This window comes from Homo sapiens, chromosome 9 (assembly GCF_000001405.40).
Source record: "Homo sapiens chromosome 9, GRCh38.p14 Primary Assembly".
Classification (NCBI taxonomy): Eukaryota; Metazoa; Chordata; class Mammalia; order Primates; family Hominidae; genus Homo; species Homo sapiens.
The window spans coordinates 36,258,606-36,286,104 of record NC_000009.12 but is presented as its reverse complement, the minus strand read 5'-3'; the positions used below and the strand labels follow the sequence as shown (position 1 = coordinate 36,286,104).

The 27,499-nt window shown below is 44.7% G+C and overlaps 1 protein-coding gene, 1 long non-coding RNA gene and 1 pseudogene across 4 annotated transcripts in view, besides 1 other annotated feature; 1 reads left to right on the top strand and 2 right to left on the bottom strand.

Annotated features, from left to right (window-relative positions):
• Nucleotides 1-965: 965 nt before the first annotated feature.
• Nucleotides 966-27,495, bottom strand: LOC124902150 (uncharacterized). Its single transcript, XR_007061473.1, has 3 exons — nucleotides 27,354-27,495; nucleotides 20,531-20,684; nucleotides 966-1,397 (listed from the first exon to the last, which is right to left on the bottom strand). It is a non-coding gene; the product is annotated as an uncharacterized LOC124902150 (long non-coding RNA).
• The window catches only part of GNE (glucosamine (UDP-N-acetyl)-2-epimerase/N-acetylmannosamine kinase), a 62,538-nt gene continuing 44,165 nt past the window's right edge, over nucleotides 9,127-27,499 (top strand). For all 3 annotated transcript variants that reach the window (NM_001190388.2, XM_005251334.5, NM_001128227.3), the window contains exon 1: nucleotides 9,127-9,211. Coding sequence is in view for 2 of the 3 variants with exons in the window: in XM_005251334.5 (XP_005251391.1) it covers nucleotides 9,161-9,211 (51 nt within the window). In the remaining variant the exon portion in view is untranslated. The remainder of the gene's footprint in view (nucleotides 9,212-27,499) is intronic.
• Nucleotides 18,183-18,322, bottom strand: RNU4-53P (RNA, U4 small nuclear 53, pseudogene; annotated as a pseudogene).
• Nucleotides 27,227-27,456: an enhancer, noted in NCBI's record as "active region_28349". NCBI's record gives its function as "activates an Ori minimal core promoter by ATAC-STARR-seq in GM12878 lymphoblastoid cells {active_cell/tissue: GM12878}" and the evidence as "EXISTENCE:reporter gene assay evidence [ECO:0000049][PMID:35858748]".

The window sequence follows — 27,499 nt, the reverse complement described above, 5'->3', positions numbered from 1 at the left end:
AGTTGAAGTCAGTGCTCATTTGCCATTCTGAAAATTCTAGGACCTTTAAGAGTTATGCTAAAGCTGGCCAGGCGTGGTGGCTCACGCCTGTAATCCCAGCATTTTGGGAGGCCGAAGGGGGTGGATCACCTGAGGTCAGGAGTTTGAGACCAGCCCGGCCAACATGGCAAAACCCCATCTTTACTAAAAATACAAAAATTAGCCAGGTGTGGTGGTGCATGCCTGTGATCCCAGCTACTCAGGAGGCTGAGACAGGAGTATCACTTGAACCCAGGAGGCACCCGGGAGGCAGAGGTTGCCGTAAGCTGGGATCACACCACTGCACTCCAGCCTAGGCAACACAGCGAGACTCTGTCTCAAAAAAAAAAAAAACAAAAAAAAAACATGCTAAAGCTACTCTTCTTGTGCTCTATAAATGGAATAGCAAAGCCTGGATGACAGCATATCCGGTAATTAGCATGGTTTACTGAATATTTTAAGCCCACTATTGAGATTTACTGCCCAGAAAAAGAAGAAAAGATTCCTTTCAGAAAATTACCACTCACTGACAGTTCACCTGGTCACCCAAGGGCTCTGATGAAGATGTGCAAGGAGATGAATGTTGTTTTCATGCCTGCTAACACAACATCCAGTCCATAGCCCATGGATCAAAGAGTAATTTTGACTTTCAAGTCCTATTACTTAAGAAATACATTGGCCGGGCATGGGGGCTCACGCCTGCAATCCCAGCACTTTGGGAGGCTGAGGCGGGCGGATCATGAGGTCAAGAGATCGAGACCATCCTGGCTAACATGGTGAAACACTGTCTCTACTAAAAATACAAAAATTAGCTGGGCTGGGTGGCACACGCCTGTAGTCCCAGATACTTGGGAGGCTGAGGCAGGAGAATTGCTTGAACCTGGGAGGTGGAGGTTGCAGTGAGCCAAGATTGCGCTACTGTACTCCAGCCTGGGTGACAGAGCAAGACTCCATCTCAAAAAAAAAAAAAAAAAAAAAGAAAGAAATACATTTTGTTGGGCCATAGCTGCCATTGATCTTGATTCCTCTAATGGATCTGGGCAAAGTAAATTGAAAGACTTTGGAAAGAATTAATCATTCTAGATGCCATTAAGAACATTCATGATTCATAGGAGAAGGTCAAAATAGCCACATTAACAGGATTTGGGAGAAGTTGATTCCAACGCTCATAGTTGACTTTAGGGGGCTCAAGACTTCTGTGGAGGAAGTAACTGCAGATGTGGTAGACACAGCAAGAGAAGTACAGTTAGAAGTGGAGCCTGAAGATGTGACTGAATTGCTGCCATCTCACAATCAAACTTGAATGAAGGAGGTGTTGTTTCTTCTGAATGAGCCAAGAACATCTTTTCTTGATGTGGATTCTACTCCTGATGAAGACGCTGTGGACATTGTTGAAATGACAACAGAGGATTTAGAATATTACATAACGCAGTTCATAAAGCAGTGGCATGGTTTGATAGGATTGATTCCAGTATTGAAGGAAGTTCTACTGTGGGTAAATGCTATCAAATAGTATCTCATGCTACAGAGAAATCTTTGGTGAAAGAGTCAATCGATGTAGCAAACTTCATCATTGTTTTATTTCAGGAAATTGCCACAGGCATCCTGATCTTCAGCAGCCACCACCCTGATCAGTCACCAGCCACAACACTGAGGCAAGACCCTCCAGCAGCAAAAAGATGACTCACTGAAGGCTCAGGTGATCATTAGCATTTTTCAGTAATAAAGTATTTTACAAGACCAGTGCTCTAACCCATTAGCTATGGAGCCGTAATAAAGTATTTTAAAATTCCAGCGGGCATGGTGGCTCACGCCTATAATCCCAGCACTTTGGGAGGCTGAGGAGGGTGGATCACCTGAGGTCAACAGTTCGAGACCAGCCTGGCCAACATGGAGAAACCCCGTCTCTACTAAAAATACAAAAATTAGCCGGGAGTGGTAGCGGGGGCCTGTAATCCCAGCTATTCAGGAGGCTGGGGCAGGAGAATCGCTTGAACTCATGAGACAGAGGTTGCAGTGAGCTGAGATCACGCTACTGTACTCCAGCCTGGGTGACACGGTGAAACTCTGTCTCAAAATAAATAAATAAATAAATAAATAAATAAATAAATAAGGTATATATGTTGTGCTGGGTGCAATGGTGGATGCCTGTAATCCTAGCACTTTGGGAGGTCAAGGCAGGTGGACTGTTTGAGCCCAGGAGTTTGAGACCAGCCTGAGCAACATAGTGAGACCCCATCTCTAAAAAAATACAAAAAATTAGCTGGGTGTGGTGACTCATGCCTGTACTCCCAGCTACTCAGGAGGCTGAGGTGGGAGGTTCGCTTGAGCCCTGAAGGCAGAGGTTGCAGTGAGCCGAGATTGTGCCACTGCACTCCAGCCTCGGCAACAGAGTGAGCCCTGTCATTAAGAAAAAAAAAAAAAAAAAAAAAACGGCCGGGCGCAGTGGCTCATGCCTGTAATCCCAGCACTTTGGGAGGCCGAGATGGGCGGATCACGAGATCAGGAGATCGAGACCATCCTGATGAACACGGTGAAACCCCATCTCTACTAAAAATACAAAAAATTAGCCGGGCGTGGCAAGCGCCTGTAGTCCCAGCTACTCGGGAGGCTGAGGCAGGAGAATGGCGTGAACCCAGGAGGCGGAGCTTGCAGTGAGCCGAGATCGCGCCACTGCACTCCAGCCTGGGAGACAAAGCGAGACTCCGTCTCAAAAACAACAACGACAACAACAACATCAAGGCTGAACTGACCTTTAGCACCAAAGAGACCACTCTGTCTCTCCTCTCTCAGGTTTAACTTTCTCATAAAAATCTTACCCCCAGCCCATTTTAACTTAACTCACAATATATGCCTGGCACTATGCAAGACTCTGGAAATGTGAAGAGGAACAAAATAGCTATGGCTGACCCCTAGTTGGCCACAGTTTATAGTCTACCAGAAATAGTTATCAAAGTGTGGTCTGGGGACCTCGGAGGAGGGAGGGAGAGTCTTGGAGCCCTTTTGGGGCTGTGTGTGAAGGCCAAACTACATTCCTGTATTCATAATAATATAGCCAGTTCTCTTTCTTCATGGTAGTTATGTTCTATAAAGTTGCTGTGAATGCTGAATAAGTGAATACTGAATTATTACTCTTAAGGGAAATACAGGGTTAGGTTCCTAAAGCCTCTGGTCATTTTTGTCAACCAACCAATACGTAACTTTGTTTTCTGTGTATTTCTATTTAAAGATACCTTAACATGAGAGGATGGTGGCATGTATGCCATCTCCCATTCATGTTCCTACTTCCCTGGAAGGCTGAGATGATTTCTTATGCCTTCCAGGTTCTGATGAGATTAGGGCTTTATGCTGTGGCCCCCTCAGAATAGAGCTGCAGAATACTAAAGCCCTTAGCTGCAGCTAAGAATGAGCTTCTCGAAAGGGCGTCCCATGGCTTGCCTTGCAGTTATCTGACCCCTCTTGTTTTGGTGTTGTCCTTTTGGTGAGTGGGACAAAGACCATAGGAGCTGGCACCTTGAGCCACTCTTCCTTTTGCTGTTTACGTAAGTGCCAAACAGTCTGATCTAAAAGTAGCCTGTTGTACCTTTCCGGTTCAACCAGGCAGGCCTTGTCCTTGCCCTCGTGTGTGCTCAACAAATAGGAAAGACCAAGAGGCAGGTATTAGATCAGCGTATTGCCTAGGCATTCTGCTCATTACTAGCCCATCTGACCCCTACATCTGCAGCCTGAAACCCAGTGATGAGAAAATTCTCCACGTTACAACCCTCATAAATGGCATTAACCTCTTCTAGAAGAAGATGGATTGCAAATGATTTTTAGATGTTCTTGTGGATAATACTTGCAGTATCTACACATTTAACGTTTGTTCATATTACCATCATTGCAGAACACAGGGGTAAAAAAGCTGCAAGTTGGAGAAGGAGTCTTTGCTTCTCCAAAGGAGACTTCTCTCCTCTTTTGCTCTCTCAGGAAAGAGGGGACTCTAAAGTAGTTCACTTAGGGGTGGACCATGCAACATGGCTAAAAATGAGGCCTGCCCAGAGACCAAGGCTTTTCACAACTTCCTCTGTCATTCTGTGAAACTTAGTCTTAAACAGATCAGGGTTTTGCCTGGCTAAAAACTGTATTCTCTACTTTATCTGAAGTGAAATGTATTTCTCCTGTTCCAGCCAGTGACCAATCCAACCATCTTATCCTGGAAAAAAAAAATAAATTGTAAGCATCCTCAAGATGCATTCACTTTCGAAGTTTTATTATTTACTGGCTCACAAAGTAATAATGTACACTGTAAAAAAGTGTGCAAGGCCGGGCTTGTGGTGGCTCACGCCTGTAATCCCAGCTCTTTGGGAGGCCAAGGTGGGTGGATCACGAGGTCAGGAGATCGAGACCATCCTGGCTAACATGGTGAAACCCTGACTCTACTAAAAATACAAAAATTAACAGGGCATGGTGGTGCGCACCTGTAGTCCCAGCTACTCAGGAGGCTGAGGCAGGAGAATCACTTGAACCTGAGAAGCAGAGGTTACAGTGAGCCAAGACTGCGCCACTGCACTCCAGCCTGGCAACAGAGCGAGACTCCGTCTCAGAAAAACAAAACAAAAAAAAGTGCAAAATACAAAAAGTAGAAATAAGCACACAGAAAAATCAGTCTCGCATCTACAAGGAGGCAACAACTGTTAATATTCTAAGATACTTCCCTTAAGTCCTTTATGTATTTTTTTCCTTTACACAAGCACAACTCTATATGCGATCTTGTGCTTAGCCTTTTGATTCACATCATTTCATATTTCTCCATGATTTCACATTGTAAATATCATGTTGACTAACTGCATAGCGATTTGTGGATGCATCAAAATTTACCTAACTCTTCCTCAAACATGTGGCACGTAGGTTAAGAAGCTTGTCACTCTTGACACAAGCTATCTGAATGAGTGACAGACGGTATGGTGTGGTTAAAATAGCAGTGACTTTGCAGTCACATTTTTTGACCCATGTTTGAGATCTGGGTCAGCCACTTGTAACTTGTTTGTGTGACTTTAGGCAAACCACTTAATTTCTCTGAGCCTCAATTCCTTTCCTGGTCTATAAAATAGGACAGGTAACTTCCACTTCACTGAGTTGTTCTAAGTCAGGAGTGGACAGACTATAGCTCAGCGGCCAATTCCAGGCCACTATCTGTTTTTGTAAAAAAAAGTCTCAAAGGCACACAGCCATCTCCATTCCTTTATACATCGTGTATGGCTGCTTTTGTACCACAAGGGCAGAGCAGAGAAGTTGTGACAGAGACATGGCCTGCAAAAATATCTGGCCCTCTATAGAAAAGATTTGATGACCCCTATTCTAAATAATGGACATGAAAGTAATTCTGTAGACAGAAAAAAGCCTAACCAAATGTGAAAGATTATTCATGGCAGAGCCTACAGTAGGTGCTCATTAAACATTTGTTCTAAGGATGTGTAGCTCAATGGAGAATTGTATTCACCAGAATCCCTGCAGAATGAGTCTCTGTTTAGGAGAAGCATGAAGGAGGAGGTGATTCAGAAGAGCATCAGGATGGGGTGAGAACCCTGTGCAAAGGGACAGAAAAGGAGATTTTTAACACCTGGGAAACTACAGGGACAAGGAGAACTGTGTGAAGATGTTTAGAAGCTTTCTGGATGATGCTCTGAATAAAACTCCTGTGCAGCCCAATTAAAGTAAACATCTACAGTAAACATCAACATGGTTCTTTAAGACTCAGAGCAAGACCAGTGTTTATTTAACTTCAACTCAATGTAGGGATTGGATCACAAGGAGTATAGCTTTCAAATAGATTATCAAATGGACAGAATAAAAATAACAGCTCAGGCTGGGCATGGCAGCTCACGCCTGTAATCCCAGCTCTTTGGGAGGTCAGGGCAGGAGGATCACTTGAGCCCAGGAGTTTGAGACCAACCTGGGCAACACAGTGAGACTTCATCTTTGTATTTTAAAATAAGCTAATTAATTAAATAAAAATAAAAATGTCTCTGGGCATGGTGGCTCACGCCTCTAATCCCAGCACTTTGGGAGGTTGAGGCAGGCGCATCACTTGAGGTCAGGAGTTTAAGACCAGCCTGGCCAACATGGTGAAACTCCATCTCTACTAAAAATACAAAAATTAGCTGGGCACGGTGGCATGTGCCTGTAGTCCCAGCTACTCAGGAGGCTGAGGCAGGAGAATCACTTGAACCCAGGAGGTGGAGGTTGCGATGAACCAAGATAACGCGTCACTGCCCTCCAGCCTGGGCGACAGAGTAAGACCTCCGTTTAAAAAAAAAAAAATCAGCCCTAATATTGAATTTACAATACAAAATTTTAATTATATGTGCTCCCATAAAGCACAATGAAGAACATCTTATTTATTAAAAAGAGGATAATATTTCACTGAGCAGGCTGGGCACAGTGGCTCATGCCTGTAATCTCAGCCCTTTGGGAGGCCAAGGAGGGCAGATTGCTTGAGCCCAGGAGCCTGAGCAACATGGCAAAACCTCATCTCTACAAAAAATACAAAAATTAACCAGGCGTGATGGTGGGCTCCTTTAATCCCGGTTACTCAGGAGGCTGAAGCACGAGAATTACTTGAAACCGGGAGGTGGAGGTTGCTGAGCCGAGATCGTGCCATTGCGCTCCAGCCTGGGCGACAGAGCAAGACTCTGTCTTAAAAAAACAAAAAACAGGCTGAGCAAGGTGGCTCATGCCTGTAATCCCAGCACTTTGGGAGGCTGAAGTGGGAGGATCACCTGAGGTCAGGAGTTCGAGACCAGCCTGGCCAACATGGCGAAACCCTGTCTCTACTAAAAATACGAAAATTAGCTGGGGTGGTGGTGCATGCCTGTGATCCCAGCTACTTGGGAGGCTGAGGCTGGAGAATCACTTGAACCTGGGAGGCGGGGGTTGCAGTGAGCTGAGATCGTGCCACTCTACTCCAGCCTGGGTGACAGAGTGATACTCTGTCTCAAAAAAATAAACAAAAATAAATAAATAAAAACAAAAAACAATTTTAAAAAATGGTAGTAAGGTCAGACTTTTGATCATATATTTTTTTGAGTTCCCTAGTGCTATTCTGCCAATTTTTTCTATTGGACAGCTTTTTCTCTCCCATTGCTGATTTGTAAGCTCTCAAGTGAGGTCCTATAGGCAGTCTATGGACAGTATATTAAATACTGGATATTTTTGTTTATTTATTTCTTGAGACAGTGTCTTGCCGTGTGGCCCAGGCTGCAGAGCAGTGGCAAGATCACAGTTCATTGCAGCCTCAAACTCCTGGACTCAAAGCAGTCCTCCCAGTTCAGCCTCCTGAGCAGCTGGGACTATAAGCATGTGCCACCAAGACCAGCTAATTAAAAAAAAATTCTTTTTGTAGAGATGGGTATCTAAATATGTTGCCCAGGCTGGTCTTGAATTCCTGGCCTCAAGTGATCCACCTGCCTTGGCCTTCCAAAGTGCTGGGACTATAGGTGTGAGCCACCATGCCTGGATATTTTTATTGGGAGGAGGGGATGTCTGTCAAGATTAACCAAGAGGAAGTGAAAAAGCATAACAATCATCCATGAAAACTGGCCAAGTGGTGCACACTTTTAGTTCCAGCTACTTGGGAGGCTGAGGCAGGAGGATCACTTGAGTCCAGGTCTAGCCTGGACAATACAGCAAGACCCCACCTCTAAAAAATACTATCCATGGATCCACTCCTTTATCTGCCTGAAAAAAGAAGGTCCTGCCCTGGCACACTTAGAAGTGTTCTCTCCTGCCTCTCTATAAAGACGGAGGAAGCGGAGAAGACAACTTTTTTTTTTTTTTTTAACAGAGTTTTTAGTTAAGAGAGAAAAAAGAGCAGACTGGATGTGAGGAAACAGATGGGAAGAAAGAGCAAAGAGCAGAGATTTAACAAAAAATGTTGTTGAGGGTTATGTATACCTTTAACATATTTGAAAAATATAAGGGCCAGGAGTGGTGGCTCATGCCTGTAATCCCAGCACTCTGGGAGGCCAAGGCGGGTGGATCACCTGAGGTCAACAGTTCAAGACCAGCCTGGCCAACATGGCAAAACCCTGTCTCTACTAAAAAATACAAAAACTAGCTGGGCGTGGTGGCACACACCTGTAATCCCAGCTACTCGGGAGGCTGAGGCTGGAGAATTGCTTGAACCCTGGAGGCAAAGGTTGTAGTGAGCTGAGATTGTGCCACTGCACTCCAGCCTGGGCGACAAGAGCAAGACACTGTCTCAAGAAGAAAAAAAAATAAAGAAAAATATAAGAAAAAAATGAGTTATTTTAGCATGGTGGCTCACACCTGTATTCCCAGCACTTTGGGAGGCCGAGGTGATAGGATTGCTTGAACCCAGGAGTTCGAGATGGGCCTGAGCAACATAGTGAGACCCAGTCTCTTTCAAATAAAATAAAATAGACTTCAGACCATGGTTGACTTCAAAATCTATAAACATACAATGGTTAACTAAGAATTTCTGTGCCTGTGGGGGATACCTTTTAGTATAGTTTCTCTTGAGTGGAATGTGAAGTTGTGTGGTAGATAAGGCTAGGCTGTTCCAGTGGTCAAATGAGCATTTACCAGTGAAATGGAGAGTTGTTTGATAAGTAGATCATTGGTCAGTATCCCTTGCTACCAATCTGGCTGTGAGAGTCCCTAAGCACCAAAAGCAAGACACGAGCAAGACTCCATCTCAAAAAAAAAAAAAAAAAAAAAAAAAAAAAAAAGAAAAGAATAGAAAAAAAAAGTTTAGAATTAGAATTACGTATGTGTGAAAACAATGTGAAAAAAGACTTTTGTAGATTTTTGAACTACAAAAAAGACTTTTGTAGATTTTAAGAAACTCAGAAGAAAACTTTTTCTAGTGGAAAGTAAAATTATTGGATGGAATGGGAAATCCAAAACAGGGAAGTAACACTCAGACGCTGACTGACCACCTACTTTCGAGCTACTGTCCAGGAATATGAGAAGAATTCAGAGCCACATTTTTTTTCTTCCTTTTCAGAGAGGTGGGGCTTACGATTTAGTCTGGAATTCAGATGCCTATTGGTGACTGCTCCGTGGCAGCTAAACCAAGAAAACAGCTGCTCTGCTCATTATTTCAAACCACACTAGGGTACAGAGCTCGTGCTTCGGGATGGAAACCTATGGTTATCTGCAGAGGGAGTCATGCTTTCAAGGACCTCATGTAAGTAATTCGGAATTCAATAGAGCTTTATTATTGAAATTGCAATCAGAAAAAAAGGGGGGAAAAAGGAAAATTACAAAGAGGAAGAGGAAAGCTTTGGTTTTAAATCTATCAAATCCATCATTTTTAAAGACTTTTTTACTGCTAACTCAGTTTAGTCATTCTGTGGCTGCTACTTGCTTCTCAGTTACTGTGCCAAAATTCAGGGTCTTTCTGCATCTCCAAACTGAAAGTTGAAATTGAACTCTTTTCTCCAGATTCCTGGCACTTTCATCAGATAAAGTGGGGTTCCTTTTACTTTTTGAGATCTCTGTTTCATAAATACAGTTTATTTCCAAAACATGCAAAGTTTAACTATTTTGTTTCCTTCCCTTTTGAAACATGGCATGTAGAGCTGCCTGATTTGTACTTCTTTTCCCTCAGTTATTTAACTATTGACTGATCACATGATTGGGGTGGGTGCATTTACTCCAAGTTAATTAGTATCTAAGTCAAATAAAAAGGAAATTATCATGTTTATCAATATATAAATGCGACATATAGTGTGCTATACTATAGTGTAGTTTATTAAACCTAATTTTTCATTGAGGCATATGGAAATCCAAATGTTTTAGGAAATCATCATCACAGTTCAATTAGGTGATTAAAATATATATTCAATTTAAAGATCATCTATAGTTAAGGAATGGCTTATACAAACGTGTGTGTGTGTGTGTGTTTAAAGACAGGATCTTGCTCTGTCACCCAGGCTGGATTGTAGTGGCATAATCATAGCTCACTGCAGCTTTCAACTCCTGGGCTCAAGGGATCCTCCTGCCTCAGCCTCCCAAGTAGTCAGGACTACAGACACAGACTACCATACCCGGCAAACTTTTAAATTTTTTGTAGAGACAAGGTCTTGCTGCGCTGCCCAGGCTGATCTCGAACTCCTGGGCTCAAGTGATGTTCCTGGCTTGGCCTTTCAAAGTGCTGAGATTACAGGCGTTGAGCCCCTGTACCTGGCCTTATAAAAACTTTTCAATCAGATGATATTATTCCTGCAATTATTGCCAACACAGTTTACTCCTAGCTGTATCACCAATGCATACTTTCTATCTGCCTTCTTCAATGAGAATTTATTATTTTTATTTTTTATTAGCACACTTAAATTGAAATTCAAGGTCAGACTTTCTGAGCTTCTAGCTGGAACTTGTAAGTTTTTTTCCTCGTGTCATCAATAAAATCTGCTTAGAAATGGTTGTTTCTAGTTATGAAAGTAATAGTTGTTCTACTCATCTCTCCATCCATTTTTTTTGTATAACTGACTTTAAAAATATGGCCTGAAATAATCATTTCATTCATTTGCCTAATGTTTGGTGGTTTCTATGGCCACACAAGCTCTGAAATACTCTATATGGCCTTTAAGTTATCTTCCAAGTTACTCTGCCACTTAATAATTCAATTATCTTTTCCAATATTCCTCAGTAAAACCTTTCTCCTGTCAGGCTGGTCTCCCCTGTATGCTATTCTCATGCCCATTTTATTGTCTTCAATCACATCATGTTCTCTCTTCCAGGAAATACTCTTTTAAAATGTAAAACTGATAGGGTTTTGTGGCACACTGAATGTGAGACAGAAAGGAGGTGCAGAGGTCAAGAATGCCTCCTAAGATCCTAGTAGGTGATAATACGATTCACTGAGAATTAGGACGGAAGAGAAAGCCCAGGTTTATAAGGAAGAAGAAAGCTCAATTTTGGACAAGCGGATTTGAAGTGCTTGTAGAACACATCCAAATAAAGATGTCCTATAAGTAGCTGAATATTTGGGTTTGGACTGAGAAGACTGGGATAGAAATTCACATCTAGGAATCATTTTAAATGATTGTGAAACCGGCCGGGTGCGGTGGCTCGCGCCTGTAATCTCAGCACTTTGGGAGGCCGAGTCCGGCGGATCACGAGGTCAGGAGATCAAGACCATCCTGGCTAACACAGTGAAACCCCGTCTCTACTAAAAATACAAAAAAAATTAGCCGGGCATGATGGCGGGTGCCTGTAGTCCCAGCTACGCGGGAGGCTGAGGCAGGAGAATGGCGTGAACCCGGGAGGCGGAGCTTGCAGTGAACAGAGATCGCGCCACGGCACTCCAGCCTGGGCGACAGAGCGAGACTCCGTCTCAAGAGAAAAAAAAAAAAAAAGAATGTGAAACCATGCAAGTGGTTGAAGTCATGCTGGAGATACACTAAAATGAGATATAAGGAAGACTACAGAATTCTAGAAAATACTTTTATTTAGGAGTTTGAGAAAGTATGAGTCAGAGAAGTTGGAAGTAGGCAGGAAATCAGGTGTCTTGCAAGCCCAGGATGTAAAATATCTCAAGAATAAGGCAGTGACCAACAGTGTGAAAAAGAAGGGGTTAAGAGAAGAGAAGCCAGAGGGCAGAGAAGACTAGGTACATGGGCAGTTGGAAAAAGAGGGTACGTGGCCAGGAAAGCACCGCTAAATATTTAACAAAGGTGTAAGAGCCTGACACAATGGCTCACATCTCTAACCCCAGCACTTCAGTAGGTTGAGGCAGGAGGATTGCTTGAGGCCAGGAGTTCAAGATCAGCCTGGGCAACATAGCGAGACCCTAGTTCTAAAAAAATTACAAATATTAGCCGGACATGGTGGCACATGCCTGTAGTCCTAGCTACTCAGGTGGCTGAGGGGAGAGGATAGCTTGAACCTAGGAAGTTGAGGCTGCAGTGAGCCATGATCCTGCCACTGCACTCCAGCCTGGGTGATAGAGTAAGACCCTGTCACACACACACACACACACACACACACACACACACACACACACACACAGTACCATAGACCGAAGCACCTGGGTTTCCGCAGAATTTTATGCCCCATTAAATTTAGTGATGTCTAACAGTCATTCAGTTGTCTAAGATTTAGACAGCTATTATGTGAAAAATACCATTAAAGAGTTCCAAATTGGCCGGACGCGATGGCTCACACCTGTAATCCCAGCACTTTGGGGGGCCGAGGCGGGTGGATCGACGTCAGGAGTTCAAGACCAGCCTGGCCAAGATGGTGAGACGCTGTCTCTACCAAAACTACAAAAGTTAGCCAGGTGCGGTGGCAGGTGCCTGTAATTCCAGCTACTCGGGAGGCTGAGGCAGGAGAATCACCTGAACCTAAGCCGAAATCACACCATTGCACTCCAGCCTGGGCAACAGAGTGAGACTCTGTCTCAAAAAAAAAAAAAAAGAGTTCCAAATTGGCCAAGAGTGACAGTAGAACAGAGTCAGGGGCAGAAAAATCTGGTGAAACAGGTAGGGTAAGAAATGTCATTGGGTGCTTTGGGCTAAGAGTAAACAGTGTATTTCAAAACACGTAAAGTTTATGGAGTGTGGCCAGGCGCAGTGGCTCATGCCTGTAATCCTAGCACTTTGGGAGGCTGAGGTGGGTGGATCATCTGAGATCAGGAGTTCGAGACCAGCCTGGCCAACATGTCGAAACCCCGTCTCTACTAAAAATACAAAAATTAGCTGGGTGTGGTGGCGGGTGCCTGTAGTCCCAGCTATTTGGGAGGCTGAGGCAGAAGAATTGCTTGAACCCAGGAGGCGGAGGTTGCAGTGAGCCGAGATCGCACCACTGCACTCTGCCTGAGCCACAGAGTGAGACATTGTCTCAAAAAAAAAAAAAATTTATGGAGTGCATAATGTCTAGCACAAATTTGTGTCTCCAATGTATATCTTCCTCCAGATCCTCAATCTCATGGAAATGTTCTGTAGGTGCTACAAATTCAACATATCCAAAATTAAAGCTCATTATCTTCTCACCTACTCCAGCCCATCTCCAAACCTGCTTCTCTAAGTGCAGTGGTGCAATCTTGGCTCACTGCAACCTCCACCTCCTGCACTCAAGCAATTCTCCTGCCTCAGCCTCCTGAGTAGCTGGGACTACAGGCGCACGCCACCATGCCCAGCTTTTTTTTTTTTTTTTTTTTTGTATTTTTACTAGATGAGGTTTCACCACCACGTTGGCCAGGCTGGTCTTGAACTCCTGACCTCAGGTGATCTACCCGCCTTGGCCTCCCAAAGTGCTGGGCTTACAGATGTGAGCCACTGGGCCCGGCCCCTTCTCCACATTCTTATGATTCCAATCCTCTCATTCTCTATTTCCATTATTACCACTTTAGTTGAGGTCCTGAAATATTATTCCTAACTGGTTTCCCTTCTTCCAGTCCTTCCTCCTCTTCCCAATCCATCTTCTGTAGTTCTTTTTTTTTTTTTTTTTTTTTTTTTGAGGCGGAGTCTCGCTCTGTCGCCCAGGCTGGAGTGCAATGGCGCGATCTTGGCTCACTGCAAGCTCCGCCTCCCGGGTTCACACCATTCTCCTGCCTCAGCCTCCCTAGTAGCTGGGACTACAGGGGCCCGCCACCACGCCCAGATAATTTTTTGTATTTTTAGTAGAGACAGGGTTTCACTGTGTTAGCCAGGATGGTCTCGATCTCCTGAACTTGTGATCCACCTGCCTCGGCCTCCCAAAGTGCTGGGATTACAGGCTTGAGCCACCACACCCAGCCATCTTCTGTAGCTCTAATTAAGCAAATCTGATCATGCCATTTCCCTAATTAAAAACTCTCCCGATTATAGTGAGGGAAAGTCTAACCTCCTTAGCATAACATCATGCAAGGCCCTTGCTGAACTGACCTTGCTCACATCTTGTCTGCATCTCCCAGTTACTTTCTGCCTCCACACATCTATCTCATAAGACCGCCAAATTTCCCACCTTGTTTTTAAATTCACCATGCTGTTTTATGCTTGACTTATTATAAAGATTGAGCAAGAGTGTTGTGTTACTACGATCGTGAGCCTAGATGGTGGAGGATGACCGGTGCAGGCAGTTGAGTAGAAGCAATTTGGCCTAGCCAGAGAGAAAAGAACAAGGATGGCTAGGAATCTTTGGTAGAAGATGTGATCCTCCTTTGACTGAATGTTTATTGACTGTGTTTCTCACCTAAGGTATGATTCAAGGAACTATGAGGGAGACAAGCATACCAAACAGGGCTAACTTCAAGGAATTTATGATCTGATTTTAAAAACGTAGGTCATATATAGTGAGGTGACTAATATGACTGATTTTTCTCGGGTTCCTTATAATACATCAGATGTCTAATATTACAGTCACAAACATATACATTCAAAGATACCAGGTAATTCATCATAAGTATAACTAATAATAAGTTTGAGGTCAGGCATGGTGGCTCACGCCTGTAATCCCAGCACTTTGGGAGGCCGAGGCAGGCAGATCACCTGAGGTCAGGAGTTCGAGACTAGCCTAGACAACATGGTGAAACCCCGTCTCTAGTAAAAATACAGAAATTAGCCAGGTGTGATGGCAGGCGCCTGTAGTCCCAGCTACTTGGGAGGCTGAGGCAGGAGAATCGCTTGAACCCGGGAGGTGGAGGTTTCAGTGAGCTGAGATCGTGCCACTGCACTCCAGCCTGGGCAACAGAGCGAGACTCGGTCTCAAAACAAAATGAAACAAAAAGTTTGAGATGAGTAAAGACAAGTGCTCCGGGAATTCAGAGAAGGAACAGATTATTTTGGGATAGGGTGTTCATATTAGGTTTCACAATAGAGATGGCGTTTGAAACCTGATTGGGTGTAAGCAGCAGACAAGGAAGAGCCTTCTAACTTTGAGGAATGATACAAAGGTAGAGAAAGAACTCTTTGGGGCAGAAGGATCCGGGAGGGGAATAATGTTGGTAAGATCAGCAAAAGGTCAGGACCCTTAAATTGTGGAGGACCTTAAATGACAAACTTGTTCCCCTAGGCATACTTTATCTAGCAGGGAATGGGGGACCACTGAAGTTTTTCTTAAAGTCTTAACGAGATGAAAGCAGCCTTTTAAGAAGATTTAATCAGGCAATAATGTGCAAGATAGATGAAAGGAGCGAGGGAATGCAGGCAGGAAGGACAAGAAGAAATAGAGTAATCCAGGTCTTTGTTAATTCCACTTATTTATTTTATTATTAAGAGATGGGGCCTTACAATGTTGCCCAGGCTGGACTCAAACTCCTGGGCTCAAGAAATCCTCCTGTCAGGCCGGGCGTGGTGGCTCACGCCTGTAATCCCAGCACTTTGGGAGGCTGAGGTGGGCGGATCACGAGGTCAGGAGATCGAGACCATCCTGGCTAACATGGTGAAACCCCGTCTCTACTAAAAATACAAAACATTAGCCGGGCGCGGTGGCGGGCGCCTGCAGTCCCAGCTACTCGGGAGGCTGAGGTAGGAGAATGGTGTGAACCCAGGAGGCGGAGCTTGCAGTGAGCCGAGATCGTGCCACTGCAGTACGGCCTGGGCGAAAGAGCGAGACTCCGTCTCAAAAAAAAAAAAAAAAAAAGAAAGAAATCCTCCTGTCTCAGCCTCCCAAGTAGCTGGGATTACAGGCGTGCATGCACTACTGCACCCAGGTTAATAGTGGGCTTTGATGCCCGATTTTCTTGATTCTAAAACACTATTGATATAATAGTTTGTATAATAAAAAACTCTACATTAAATATTTACATTGATTATAAATATTGATTTTAGGTATATAAAATCATTTAAAAAAAGCATCTCAGAATTAAGGAAATAAGATGATAAGATCTGAACTAAGGCCAGGTGCAGTGGCTTATGTCTGTAATACCAACACTTTGGAAGGCAGAGGCAGGAGGATCACTTGAGGCCAGGAGTTCGATACCAGCCTGGGCAACAAAGCAAAACCCTGTCTCTACAAAAGTTTTGATAAATTAGCTAGGCATGGTGGCATGTGCTTTAAGTCCCAGCTACTTGGGATGCTGGGGTCACAGGATCGCTTGAGCCCAGGATTTTGAGGCTGCAGTGAGCCACAACCATACCACTGCACTACAAGCTGGGCTAGAGAGCAAGACCCTGTCTCTAAGAAAACCCAACAACCGGCCGGGCGCGGTGGCTCACGCCTGTAATCCCAACACTTTGGGAGGCCAAGATGGGCGGATCACCTGAGGTCAGGAGTTCAAGACCAGCCTGGCCAATATGGTGAAACCCCGTCTCTACTAAAAATACAAAAATTAGCTGGGTGTGGTGGTGGGCGCCTGTAATCCCAGATACTCAGGAAGCTGAGGCAGGAGAATCGCTTGAACCTGGGAAGCAGAGGTTGCAGTGAGCTAAGATCACACCACTGCACTCCAGCCTGGGCGACAGAGCGAGACTCCGTCTCAAAAAAAAAAAAAAAGAAAGAAGAAAGAAAACCCAACAACATAAACTGAGATAACATTTTGAATTATTTGAAAGATTGAATGTTAAAGTCAGAGAGAGCGAAGATTAAAATATGACTCCATGATTTTGAGTCTGAATGAAAGTGTCAAGTTAGTACCATTAAAAGAAATAGCAAAGTCAACAGGATAAAATGAACTTTCATATATTGAGTTTGAAGTGAGGAACTATCTAGTAGGCAATTGAACATAGGGGCCTCAAGCTGGGAAGAAAGGCCAGGCTGGAGTATGTATCCTAGGAATTACCTACATGGAAGTGATAATGGAAGGCTTGAGAGTGAGCCAATTTCTGAAAGAATGAGTACGCAGAGGGGCAGGGGCAGGAGCTAATCATAAGAGAGTGTTCATGTTAAGGGGCAAGAGGAGGAGTAGGGACAAAAAACAAATAATTTGAAAGGTAGAATTATATTCATTCCAGAGTAGGGGCATGAAAAACATGAGGAGAGAGAGAGGTTGAGGCCTTATGTTCATGCTTAGGCTTTTTTTTTTTTTTTTGAGACGGAGTCTCGCTCTGTTGCCCAGGCTGGAGTGCAGTGGCAAGAACTTGGCTCACTGCAACCTCCGACTTCCAGGTTCAAGCGATTCTCCTGTCTCAGCCTCCCAAGTAGCTGGGATTACAGGCACACAGCACCACACCCAGCTAATTTTTATATTTTTAGTAGAGATAGGGTTTCGCCATGTTGGCCAGGCTGGTCTTGAACTCCTGACCTCAGGTAATCCACCCACTTTGGCCTCCCAAAGTGCTGGGATAATAGGTATGAGCCACCACGCCCGGCCTGTGGGCTATTCTTCAGTTCCAGGAGTTCTGGACCAGTACCTTGGCTGTTTCCTTAGCTTACGTTGGGAAATAATAAAATTTCCCCAGAAGCGTGTTACTGATATTCAGTGCTGTTGATCTTAGCTAGTTCCTTTAAAGTCCAGAAGAACATACTTCCCACATACCTTTGTTTGTTTTTGAGATGGGGGTCTCACTCTGTCCCCCAGGCTGAGATGCAGTGGCATGATCATGGCTCACTGCAGCCTCAGCCTCCCAGGCTCAGGTGATCCTCCCACCTCAGCCTCCCGAGTAGCTAGTTACTCCAGGTGCATGCCACGATACCCAGCTAATTTTCTGTATTTTTTGTAGACATTGGGTTTCACCATATTGCCCATGCTGGTCTTGAACTCCTGGGCTAAAGCAATCCACCCGACTCAGCCTCCTAAAGTGCTAGGATTATAGGTATGAACCACCACACCCAGCTTCCCACATAACTTTTAATGAGAAGTTTAGAGCATAATTGTGTTGATCCAACATTTTATAAGAGAGTCAAAGTTAAAGGCAAACTAGTTTTTAACACATTTCCAGTTCTTCTGGAATGGCTGTGCCAATTTAACTTTCTGAATTTCTATTAGTCAGGGATGACTGAGCATTCTCTGACTCACTTCATTTCCCAAGCAGCCAGATAAGAAATAATTTATTGGTTTACAATATGATACTTTTTTTTTTGAGATGGGGTCTCACTCTGTTGCCCAGGCTGGAGTGCAGTGGTGTGATCATGACTCACTGCGGCCTGGACCTCCCAGGCTCAGGCGATCCTCCCGCTTCAGCTTCCTGGGTAGCTGGGACTACAGGCAAGCACCACCATGCCCAGCTAAATTTTTTAAATATTTTTTGTAGAGACAGGGTCTTGCCATGTTGCCTAGGCTGGTCTCGAACTCCTAGACTCAAATGATCACAAAAGTGTTGGGAAGACAGGCATGAGCCACTGCACTCAGCCTGGTTTACAGTATGATACTTTCAATTAGCAATAATCGCACCTTGGATAAACCTCATTGGCTACGATACTGCCACTGCACAAAGCTACAGTATGATACTTTCATAGCCCATAAAGAAAAATATATATATGTAATGTTCATATATATATATATTTTGTTTGTTTGTTTGTTTGTTTGAGACAGTCTCACTCTGTCACCCAGGCTGGAGTGCAGTGGTGTGATCTCAGCTCACTGCAACCTCTGCCTCCTGCATTCAAGCGATTCTCATGCATAAGCTTCCCGAGTAGCTAGGATTACAGGCACCTGCCACCACGCCTGACTAATTTTCGTATTTTAGTAGAGATGGGGTTTCACCATGTTGGCCAGGCTGGTCTCAAACTCCTGACCTCAGGTGATCCACCTGCCTCGGCCTCCCAAAGTGTTGGGATTACAGGCATGAGCCACCGCACTCAGCCAAAAAATATATTTTAAAATCCTGAGAAAAGGCAATATTTCACAAAAACAAAGTCATTATGTTAATTTGTACCTTTCTTCTATGATTGGCAAAGGAGCATAGGGATGGCTCACCACCACAGGTGCTCTAAAAAGCTGACTGGTCGGCATGATAAACTGATTCGTAATTGGGGCTACAAATAGTGATTAAATGGTCCTGAAATATAAATTTCAAAAAGATTATCTTCCAGTTATAAGTATCTTAATCAGTACATTTGTAAGTATCTTTCAATGTTATGCTCTTGCAAAGCTTAAGCTGATACAGTTTAGGATATTGCTGAATTATTTTCAGCCAATATAATCTCTTTTTTTGAGACTGAGTCTCACTCTGTTGCCCAGGCTGCAATGCAGTGGCACGATCTCGGCTCAGTGTAACCTTCGCCTCCCAGGTTCAAGCAATTATCCTGCCTCAGCCTCCCGAGTAGCTGAGATTACAGGCGGGGGCCACCACCCGGTTAATTTTTGTATTTTTTTTTTTTGAGACGGAGTCTTACTTTGTCACCCAGGCTGGCGCCATCTCGGCTCACTGCAAGCTCCGCCTCCCGGGTTCACCCCATTCTCCTGCCTCAGCCTCCCGAGTAGCTGGGACTACAGGCGCCCGCCACCACGCCCGGCTAATTTTTTGTACTTTTAGTAGAGACGGGGTTTCACTGTGTTAGCCAGGATGGTCTCGATCTCCTGACCTTGTGATCCGCCTGCCTCGGCCTCCCAAAGTGCTGGGATTACAGGCGTGAGCCACCGCACCCAGCCTAATTTTTGTATTTTTAGTAGAGACGGGATTTCACCGTGTTGACCAGGCTGGTCTCAAAGTCCTGACCTCAGGTGATCCACCTGCCTCGGCCTCCCAAACTGCTGGGATTACAGGCATGAGCCACTACTCCTGGCCTCAGCCAATATAATCTTAATCCTTACATGCTTTTCCTGGGAGAAAAGAATTGCTTTCCCCATGTAGTGTAGCCTCATAAGGCTATTCTGCAACAGGAGCAATTTTCTTTTCTGGGGAGGCTATAAACAATCTGGCGTATGCAGTGATATCTGGTTTGTAAGGTGTGTTTTACCTCTGTATACTCTAGAGTAGGGGGTCCCCAACCCCTGGGCCATGGACTGGTACTGGCCAGTGTCTTGTTAAGAACTGGGCCGCAGGCCAGGTCGGGCGCGGTGGCTTATGCCTGTAATCGCAACACTTTGGGAGGCTGAGGTGGGTGGATCACTTGAGGTCAGGAGTTCTCGACCAGCCTGGCCAACATGATGAAACCCCGTCTCTACTAAAAATACAAAAATTAGCCAGACCGCATGCCTGTAATCCCAGCTACTCGGGAGGCTGAGGCAGGAGAATCACTTGAACTCGGGAGGTGGAGCTTACAGTGAGCCAAGAAGCCAAGATTGCGCCACTGCACTCCAGCCTGGGTGACAGAGTGAGACTCCGTCTCAAAAAAATAAAATAAAATAAAAAAATAACTGGGCCGCATAATAGGAGATAAATGGCAGGCAAGCAAGCATTACCGTCTACATTCCTCCTCCTGTCAGAACAGTGGTGGCATCAGATTCTCATAGAAGCACAAATCCTATTGTGAACGGCGCATGCTAGGGACCTAGGTTGAACGCTCCTTATGAGAATTTAATGCCTGATGATCTCAGGTAGAACAGTTTCATCCTGAAACCATCCCCACCCCCACTTCCCATGGAAAAACTGTCTTCCAGGAAACCAGTCCCTGGTGCCAAAAAGACTGGGGACCGCTGCCCTAGAGACTCTGGTAATTAAAAGTGTTGTGGCTGAGATACAGTATGGGGTGAGATACTTACCAGCTAGGGAAAGATATTTACTAAACAGGAATATCCAGCTTAATATGGTGATGAATTGCTCAGTTTATTCCACCTCTTGTTGATTTCTTCATGATATTGGCTTAGGGCAGAGATGGCACATACATGGCAACATCCTTGACTCCCTTCCATCTCCCTAGAAAACAACATGGCAGACATCACAATGTTACCGGGGGTCCTTGCTCCCAGAGCTCCCAACATGGTGGCGGGTTGCTTCCAAGATGGCAGCAAGCCTCTCGTTCTCTGACCTGGGGTTCTTGGCCCCACGGATTCCAAGGAATGGAATCTTGGGCCATGCGGTGAATGTTATAGCTCTATTGGAAGACGTGGGTCATGGAAGAGAACCGTAGAACCCAGCGACTAGTGTTCATCTCAATTAGGACGAACCCAGGCACTTGCCGTGCAGGAACAACGGCAAGCCTTCAGCCCGATCGGGAGCAGCAGTGGGCGCCTCGCTGGATCAGGAGCACAGCAGACACCCTGCCAGATCCGGAGGGGTGGAAGTCAGCGGCGGGTCTGCGACTGCGGCAAACAGCAGTGGTGGACAACGAGCGAAAGCTTAGCTTGAGCGGTAACAAACACGGTACAAACACGGACCAGAAGAGTATGCAGTTACAAGATTTAATAGAGTGAAAACACAGCTCCCATACAAAGGGAGGGGAGCCAAAGAGGGTAGCCGTTGCCGGCTGGAATGCCTGGCTTTATATCCTGATCATTGTCCCTCCCACTGTGCTCTCAGGCAATAGATGATTGGTTAGTTCTTTACCTCCTGTTTTTGTCTGATTGGCATTTTAGTGAGCTCTCTTTACTACCTGATTGGTCGGGTGTGAGCTAAGTTGCAAGCCCCATGTTTAAAGGTGGATGCGGTCACCTTCCTAACTAGGCCTAGGGATTCTTAGTCGGCCTAGGAAATCCAGCTAGTCCTGTCTCTCAACAGTACATACTCTTTTCCAGTAAACTCTAGCCCCAGAGTCATTTTTGACACAGTTCTCCAGGCAGCCACCATCAATCGGTTGGAAGTGGGGATCGAAATAAGGTTGGGGATTCTCCCTGGCTCACAGTTTTACTGTTAGTATCTTCTGAATGCAAGGAACAGGGCATCTTTTTTAAAAAGAGGATTTAGGCCAGGCACGGTGGCTCATGCCTGTAATCCTAGCATTTTGGTAGGCCAAGGCAGGCGGATTGCCTGAGCTCAGGAGTTGGAGACCATCCTGGCAACATGACGAAACCCCATCTCTATAAAAAATACAAAAAAACTTAGCCGGGCATCGTGGTGCCTGCCTGTAGTCCCAATTACTTGGGAAGCTGAGGCACAAAAATTACTTGAACCTGGGAGGTGGAGGTTGCAGTGAGCCAAGATAGCACCACTGCACTCAAGCCTGGGTGACAGAGTGAGACTCTGTCTCCAAAAAAAACATAATAAAATAAATAAATAAATAAAAAGATGATTTAAGGATACATGTAGATTAAAATCAGAAAGTTGTTCAGGATTCAAGTCAAGTCAGGGCCTGGATTCTCTCCCTATGGCCTCCCTGTGCTACCTCTCACAGCTATCTGTGACTATGTTTTTAAGGTGCCCCATTTTCCTTTCATTTCCAACTGGCCAGTCCTCTCCGTATTCCCCAGTCCAGATGTTTCAGAGAGCTACTTTAACATGCACATTAGCTAATTACCATTGTCACTATTAGCTAGCCACAGGCTTGGTGCCAGGTTTTTTCATGGGTCATGAATAGGCAGCTCTTGAGGAGGCAGCCTATGGGCACAGGTGATATTTTCTCTCTTTCATTTAGTGACGGTTTTTACTTTATGAAAATTTGAAATTCAACTGTGCTGCTTAGGTATTTATTAACACTTCAATAAAAACTTTAGGAAAAATTTGTGCCAAATAATGTCCTTTTCTTTTTTGAAAGCCTCACTAAACTAATACATCAGGAGAATGCCATAGAGATTAGACCTTGATTTTAAAGAAGATGTCTTTTAAAATCTCTTAAGACCTTGATGTGAGCCATTCAGAGAGATGTGGGCTGGATAATAGAAGAGTTATGTGAACTCTTAACTAATGGAACAACTTAACCAAAAAATGATGACTGTAGGTCGGGCGCGGTGGCTCATACCTGTAATCCGGGCCCTGGCCGAGGCGGGCAGATCATTTGAGGTCAGAATTTTGAGACCAGCCTGGCCAACATGGTGAAACCCCATCTCTACTAAAAATACAAAAATTAGCCGGGCGCGGTGACACATGTCTGTAATCCCAGCTCCTCGGGAGGCTGAGGCAGGAGAATTGCTTGAACCCGGGAGGCAGAGGTTGCAGTGAGCCGAGATGACGCCATTGCACTCCAGCCTGGGCAAGAGTGAAACCCTGTCTCAAAAAAAAAAAAAAGTGATGGCTGAGATGAACCTTGAGATAGGTTTCTGTTATAAAGTGCAATGCTCTAGTTAGTATAGAGAGGAAACACTGGGTGGTAGTAGCTAAGCAAGTGGGATCAAGGGCTGGGCTCTTCTGTTTAACAGCTGTGCAACCTCAGGCAACTTCGCCTTCTGTATTTTGGTCTTTTTGTCTGTAAAGTAGGGGGTATATACAGAATTTACATCTTAATGTTGTTATGAGTACTGATGAATATAGATACAATGTTTAGAATAGTTTAGGCTATTTTAGTTTAGAAATGTTTAGGCTACGAAATACACGGGTAGAATTTACAGAGAGGCAGAGTACTTTAAAATAATTAAATCACCAAATAAAATAAGACAAGTCTGTTACAAGAAATGTTCCCAAAGTGGCCAGATAAGCATCTGTCAGGGGTGCTGTAGGAAGGTCTCCCACTCTGATGAGAAGGTTAGATTAGAGGATCTCTTAAAGCCTAGGAGTCATTGATAGCCTAGTTATGCCCTGAATGCTTGAAGTTATATTTATGCTTATGGAGTAATCTCTAGAAAAATCTGATTTTATTATACTACAAAGCCATAAGTAATTTTTTTGCAACTTGTAGAGTTCTCAGACTAAAGTCAAATGAAACCAAATCATACAAACCAAACTTAACTAGTGACGATTTTTGGTATGTCAATTCACAATGTTAAACAGTAAAGTAACAGAAATCCAGAAATGTAATATTATTTACCCATAGGAAAGTGATCTCAAAAAGCCAAGAGAAAATGCCTCCTAAGGGTCCTTGCTGCAATTTGATCTCAAGAAAGCAGAGAAGAAAATTCTAAAAAGATTATTTCATTTAAGGTTAAATGATTATGGAAATATAAAATTCTCAGTGTTGGTCAAACACAAAACTTGCAGGTGGCTTAGAAAGTGCATACAATTCTCAAAATGTATTCCCTACCGTTAAAGGTATTTATATTTATAGTTATATTTTTCTAGCTATATTAAGCATTATTTTTAAAACACATTACAGTAAAATACACATAAAAGGTACATATATATTACGTATATAATTTGAGTTTTTACAAACTAAACACACCTATGTAATCAGCACCCAGATTTTAAATTGTTTTTGAAGTTAATTTTTCTTACCTTTCAGGAAGAAAAATTTAACGTTCTATTCTGCATATTTGGAGGTACACTATGTAACTTTAAAAGCAACATACCCATCTTGACTTCAAGTGACTTTCTTTTTTTTTTTTTTTTGAGATTGAGTCTCGCTCTGTTGCCCAGGCTGGAGTGCAGTGGCGCGATCTCCGCTCACTGCAAGCTCCGCCTCCCGGGTTCACGCCATTCTCCTGCCTCAGCCTCCCGCGTAGCTGGGACTACAGGCGCCTGCCACCACACTCGGCTAATTTTTTTTGTATTTTTAGTAGAGACGGGTTTTCACAAGTGTTCGCCAGGATGGTCTTGATCTCCTGACCTCGTGATCCACCCGCCTCGGCCTCCCAAAGTGCTGGGATTACAAGCTTGAGCCACCACGCCTGACCTGACTTCAAGTGACTTTCAATACCTCTTGTGGTAGGCAGAATAAATAGCTCCCCAAAGATATCCACATCTTTTTTTTTTTTTTTTTGAGACGGAGTCTCACTCTGTCGCCCAGGCTGGAGTGCAGTGGCACGATCTCGGCTCACTGCAACCTCTGCCTCCTGGGTTCCATTTATTCTCCTGCCTCGGCCTCCCAAGTAGCCGGGACTACAGGCGTGCGCCACCATCCCCGGCTAATTTTGCTTTAGTAGAGACGGGGTGTCACCATGTTGGCCAGGCTGGTCTCGATCTCCTGACGTCGTGATCCGCCCACCTCAGCCTCCCAAAGTGCTGGGATTACAGGAGTGAGCCACCGTGCCTGGCCTAGATATCCACATCTTAATCCCTGAACCTGTGACCATGTTTCCTTACTTGGCAAGAGGGACTTTGCAGATGTGACCAGGACTTTGAGAGGGAAAATTATCTTGGACTATTGAGTGGACCCAATGTAATCACCGGGGTCTTTTTAAGTGAGAGAGGAAGGCAGTAGAGTCACAAAAGATGTGGCAAGGGAGGCAGAAGTCAGAGGTGCCATGTGCCAAGGAATGTGGGCAGCCTCTAGAATCTGGAAGGGGGAAGAAAATGAATTCTCCCTGGCAGCCTCCAGTAGGAAGGCAACCCAACTGACACCTTGATTTTGGTCCCTTGAAACCCATTTTGGATCCTTAACGTCCAAAACTGTAGGATAATACATTTGTGGGTTTTTTTTTTTTTTTTTTTTTTTTTTTTTTTTGAGATAGAGTCTCGCTCTGTTGCCCAGGCTGGAGTGCAGTGGTGCGATCTCGGCTCACTGCAAGCTCCGCCTCCCAGGTTCACGCCATTCTCCTGCCTCAGCCTCCCGAGTAGCTGGGACTACAGGCGCCCGCCACCACGCCCGGCTAATGTTTTGTATTTTTAGTAGAGATGGGGTTTCACCATGTTAGCCAGGATGGTCTCGATCTCCTCACCTTGTGATCCGCCCGCCTCGGCCTCCCAAAGTGCTAGGATTACAGGCGTGAGCCACCGCGCCTGGCCAATTTGTGTTGTTTTAAAGACCCTAATTTTGTGGTAATTTGTTACAGCATATGTGAAACTAATACACCATTTATAGTCTGGTGAGTCTGTCTTCAGATTCATATATCTCACTGCACATTTAATAGCTTCATGTGGCTCACAGGCATCTCAATCATAACATGCCCTAAATTAAAACTTTACTTTTTTCTTCCCAAACCAGGTCACTCTCCCAGCCTTTCTCATCTTAGCACACAACCAACCACCCAATTCCTAATGGCAGAAACCTGGAAGTCATTTCTTTCTTTCTTTCTTTTTTTTTTTTTTTTTAAGAGATGAGGTCTCGATCCAGCACCCAGGCTGGAGTGCAGTGGTTTGATCGAGCTCACTGTTGCCTGGAACTCCTGAGCACAAGCGATCCTCCCACCTCTGCCTTCCAAAGTGCTGGGACTGCAGGTGTGAGCCACCACACCTGGCCCGGAGGTCATTCTTGAGTCTTTTTCCCTGTCATCCCCTTATATCTAACCTATAATTAAGTCTCATCAATTTTACTTCCAAAATAAACATCATATCCATCCACTTCAGTTGAGTTTCACTGCTACCAATCCATTCTCCACAGAGCAGCCAGTGTGATTTAAAAAAGAAATCTGGGCCTGGTGTGGTGGCTCATGTCTGTAATCCTAGCACTTTGGGAGGCCAAAGTGGGCGGATCACCTAAGGTCGGGAGTTTGAGACCAGTCTGGCCAACATGGTGAAACCCCCGTCTCTACTAAAAATACAAAAATTAGCCGGGCATGGTGGTGTGTGCCTGTAATCCCAGCTACTCGGGAGGCTAAGGCAGGAGAATTGCTTGAACCTGGGAGGTGGAGGTTTCAGTGAGCTGAGATCGTACCACTGTACTCCAGCCTGGGCGATAGAGTGGGACCCTGTCTCAAAAACAAACAAACAAACAAAAAAGAAATCTGATAGCACTTCCTTGCAAAAATCCCTTAATGTCTTTTCTTTTGTGGCTAATGTGACCTTTTCGTGGCTCCAAGCTAGCCACAGGAGAACTAAGAGTTCATAAGTATTTTACAAATTAGAGCTTCATTATTAATTGAAATGCATCACAAACTGCAGTTTGATGAGATTTGAAATTTGCTGTACAGCAAGAAATCTCAATGAACTGTTAGACTTAGTTTCACCTGTGGTAAATTTTTAATGGTTGTAAAAAAAAAAAGATGTTAATATTTTGTATCATCAACTTCATTCAAAGTTTCTTGTCAATGGTGACTCAGGAATCTGTTGCCCAGGTTGGTCTCGAACTCCTGGCCTCAAGCTAGCCTTCTCACTTGGCTTCCTAAAATGCTGGGAGTGACTCAGAAATTTGAAAGGGTCATTAAAAAGTCTTAAAGCCTGATTCGGTGGCATGGTCCTGTAGTCCCAGCTACTCAGAAGGCTGAAGCCAGAAAAGATGGCTTGAGGCCAGGAGCTCGAGTGCTGCCTGGACAACATAGTGAGACCCTTGTCTCAAAAACAACAGCAACCCAAAGTCTTATTTATCTTCAGGAGCTGCGCAAGCCCTTTACCACCGCCACGTTTCTCCCTGGATGTCCCTAGGCCTCGGGACTGGCTGGGAGTTCCCTGTAGTGGAGGCCGCCGCTGAACTGATTATAAAGATGAGAGAGGCTCTGCCATGCCTTGGTCATCAATTCACACTCCACCAGTGTCTTCTAGCAGTCACGGCAAGGGTTAACGTCAGGGACCGCTGTGGGGTGGCCGCGCTACACGACAGTATAGTTGCGGTCCTGGTTTATGAAATAACTGAGGGAACAAGAGGCGCAAGAAATCCCTCCTTGGGTGCAAGACCAAAACAACTACCCAGCGGGAAGACTCGGGCTTCAGTGCGTGTGTCGCCAGTGGAGGAGGACGCTTCGGGGCGGGAGCACAAGCTGGCAGGACAGCCCCGCAGCAGCTCCAGCGCGGCAGAGGCCATGGAAGATGGTCCGCTGGTCAGCACCCTGCCT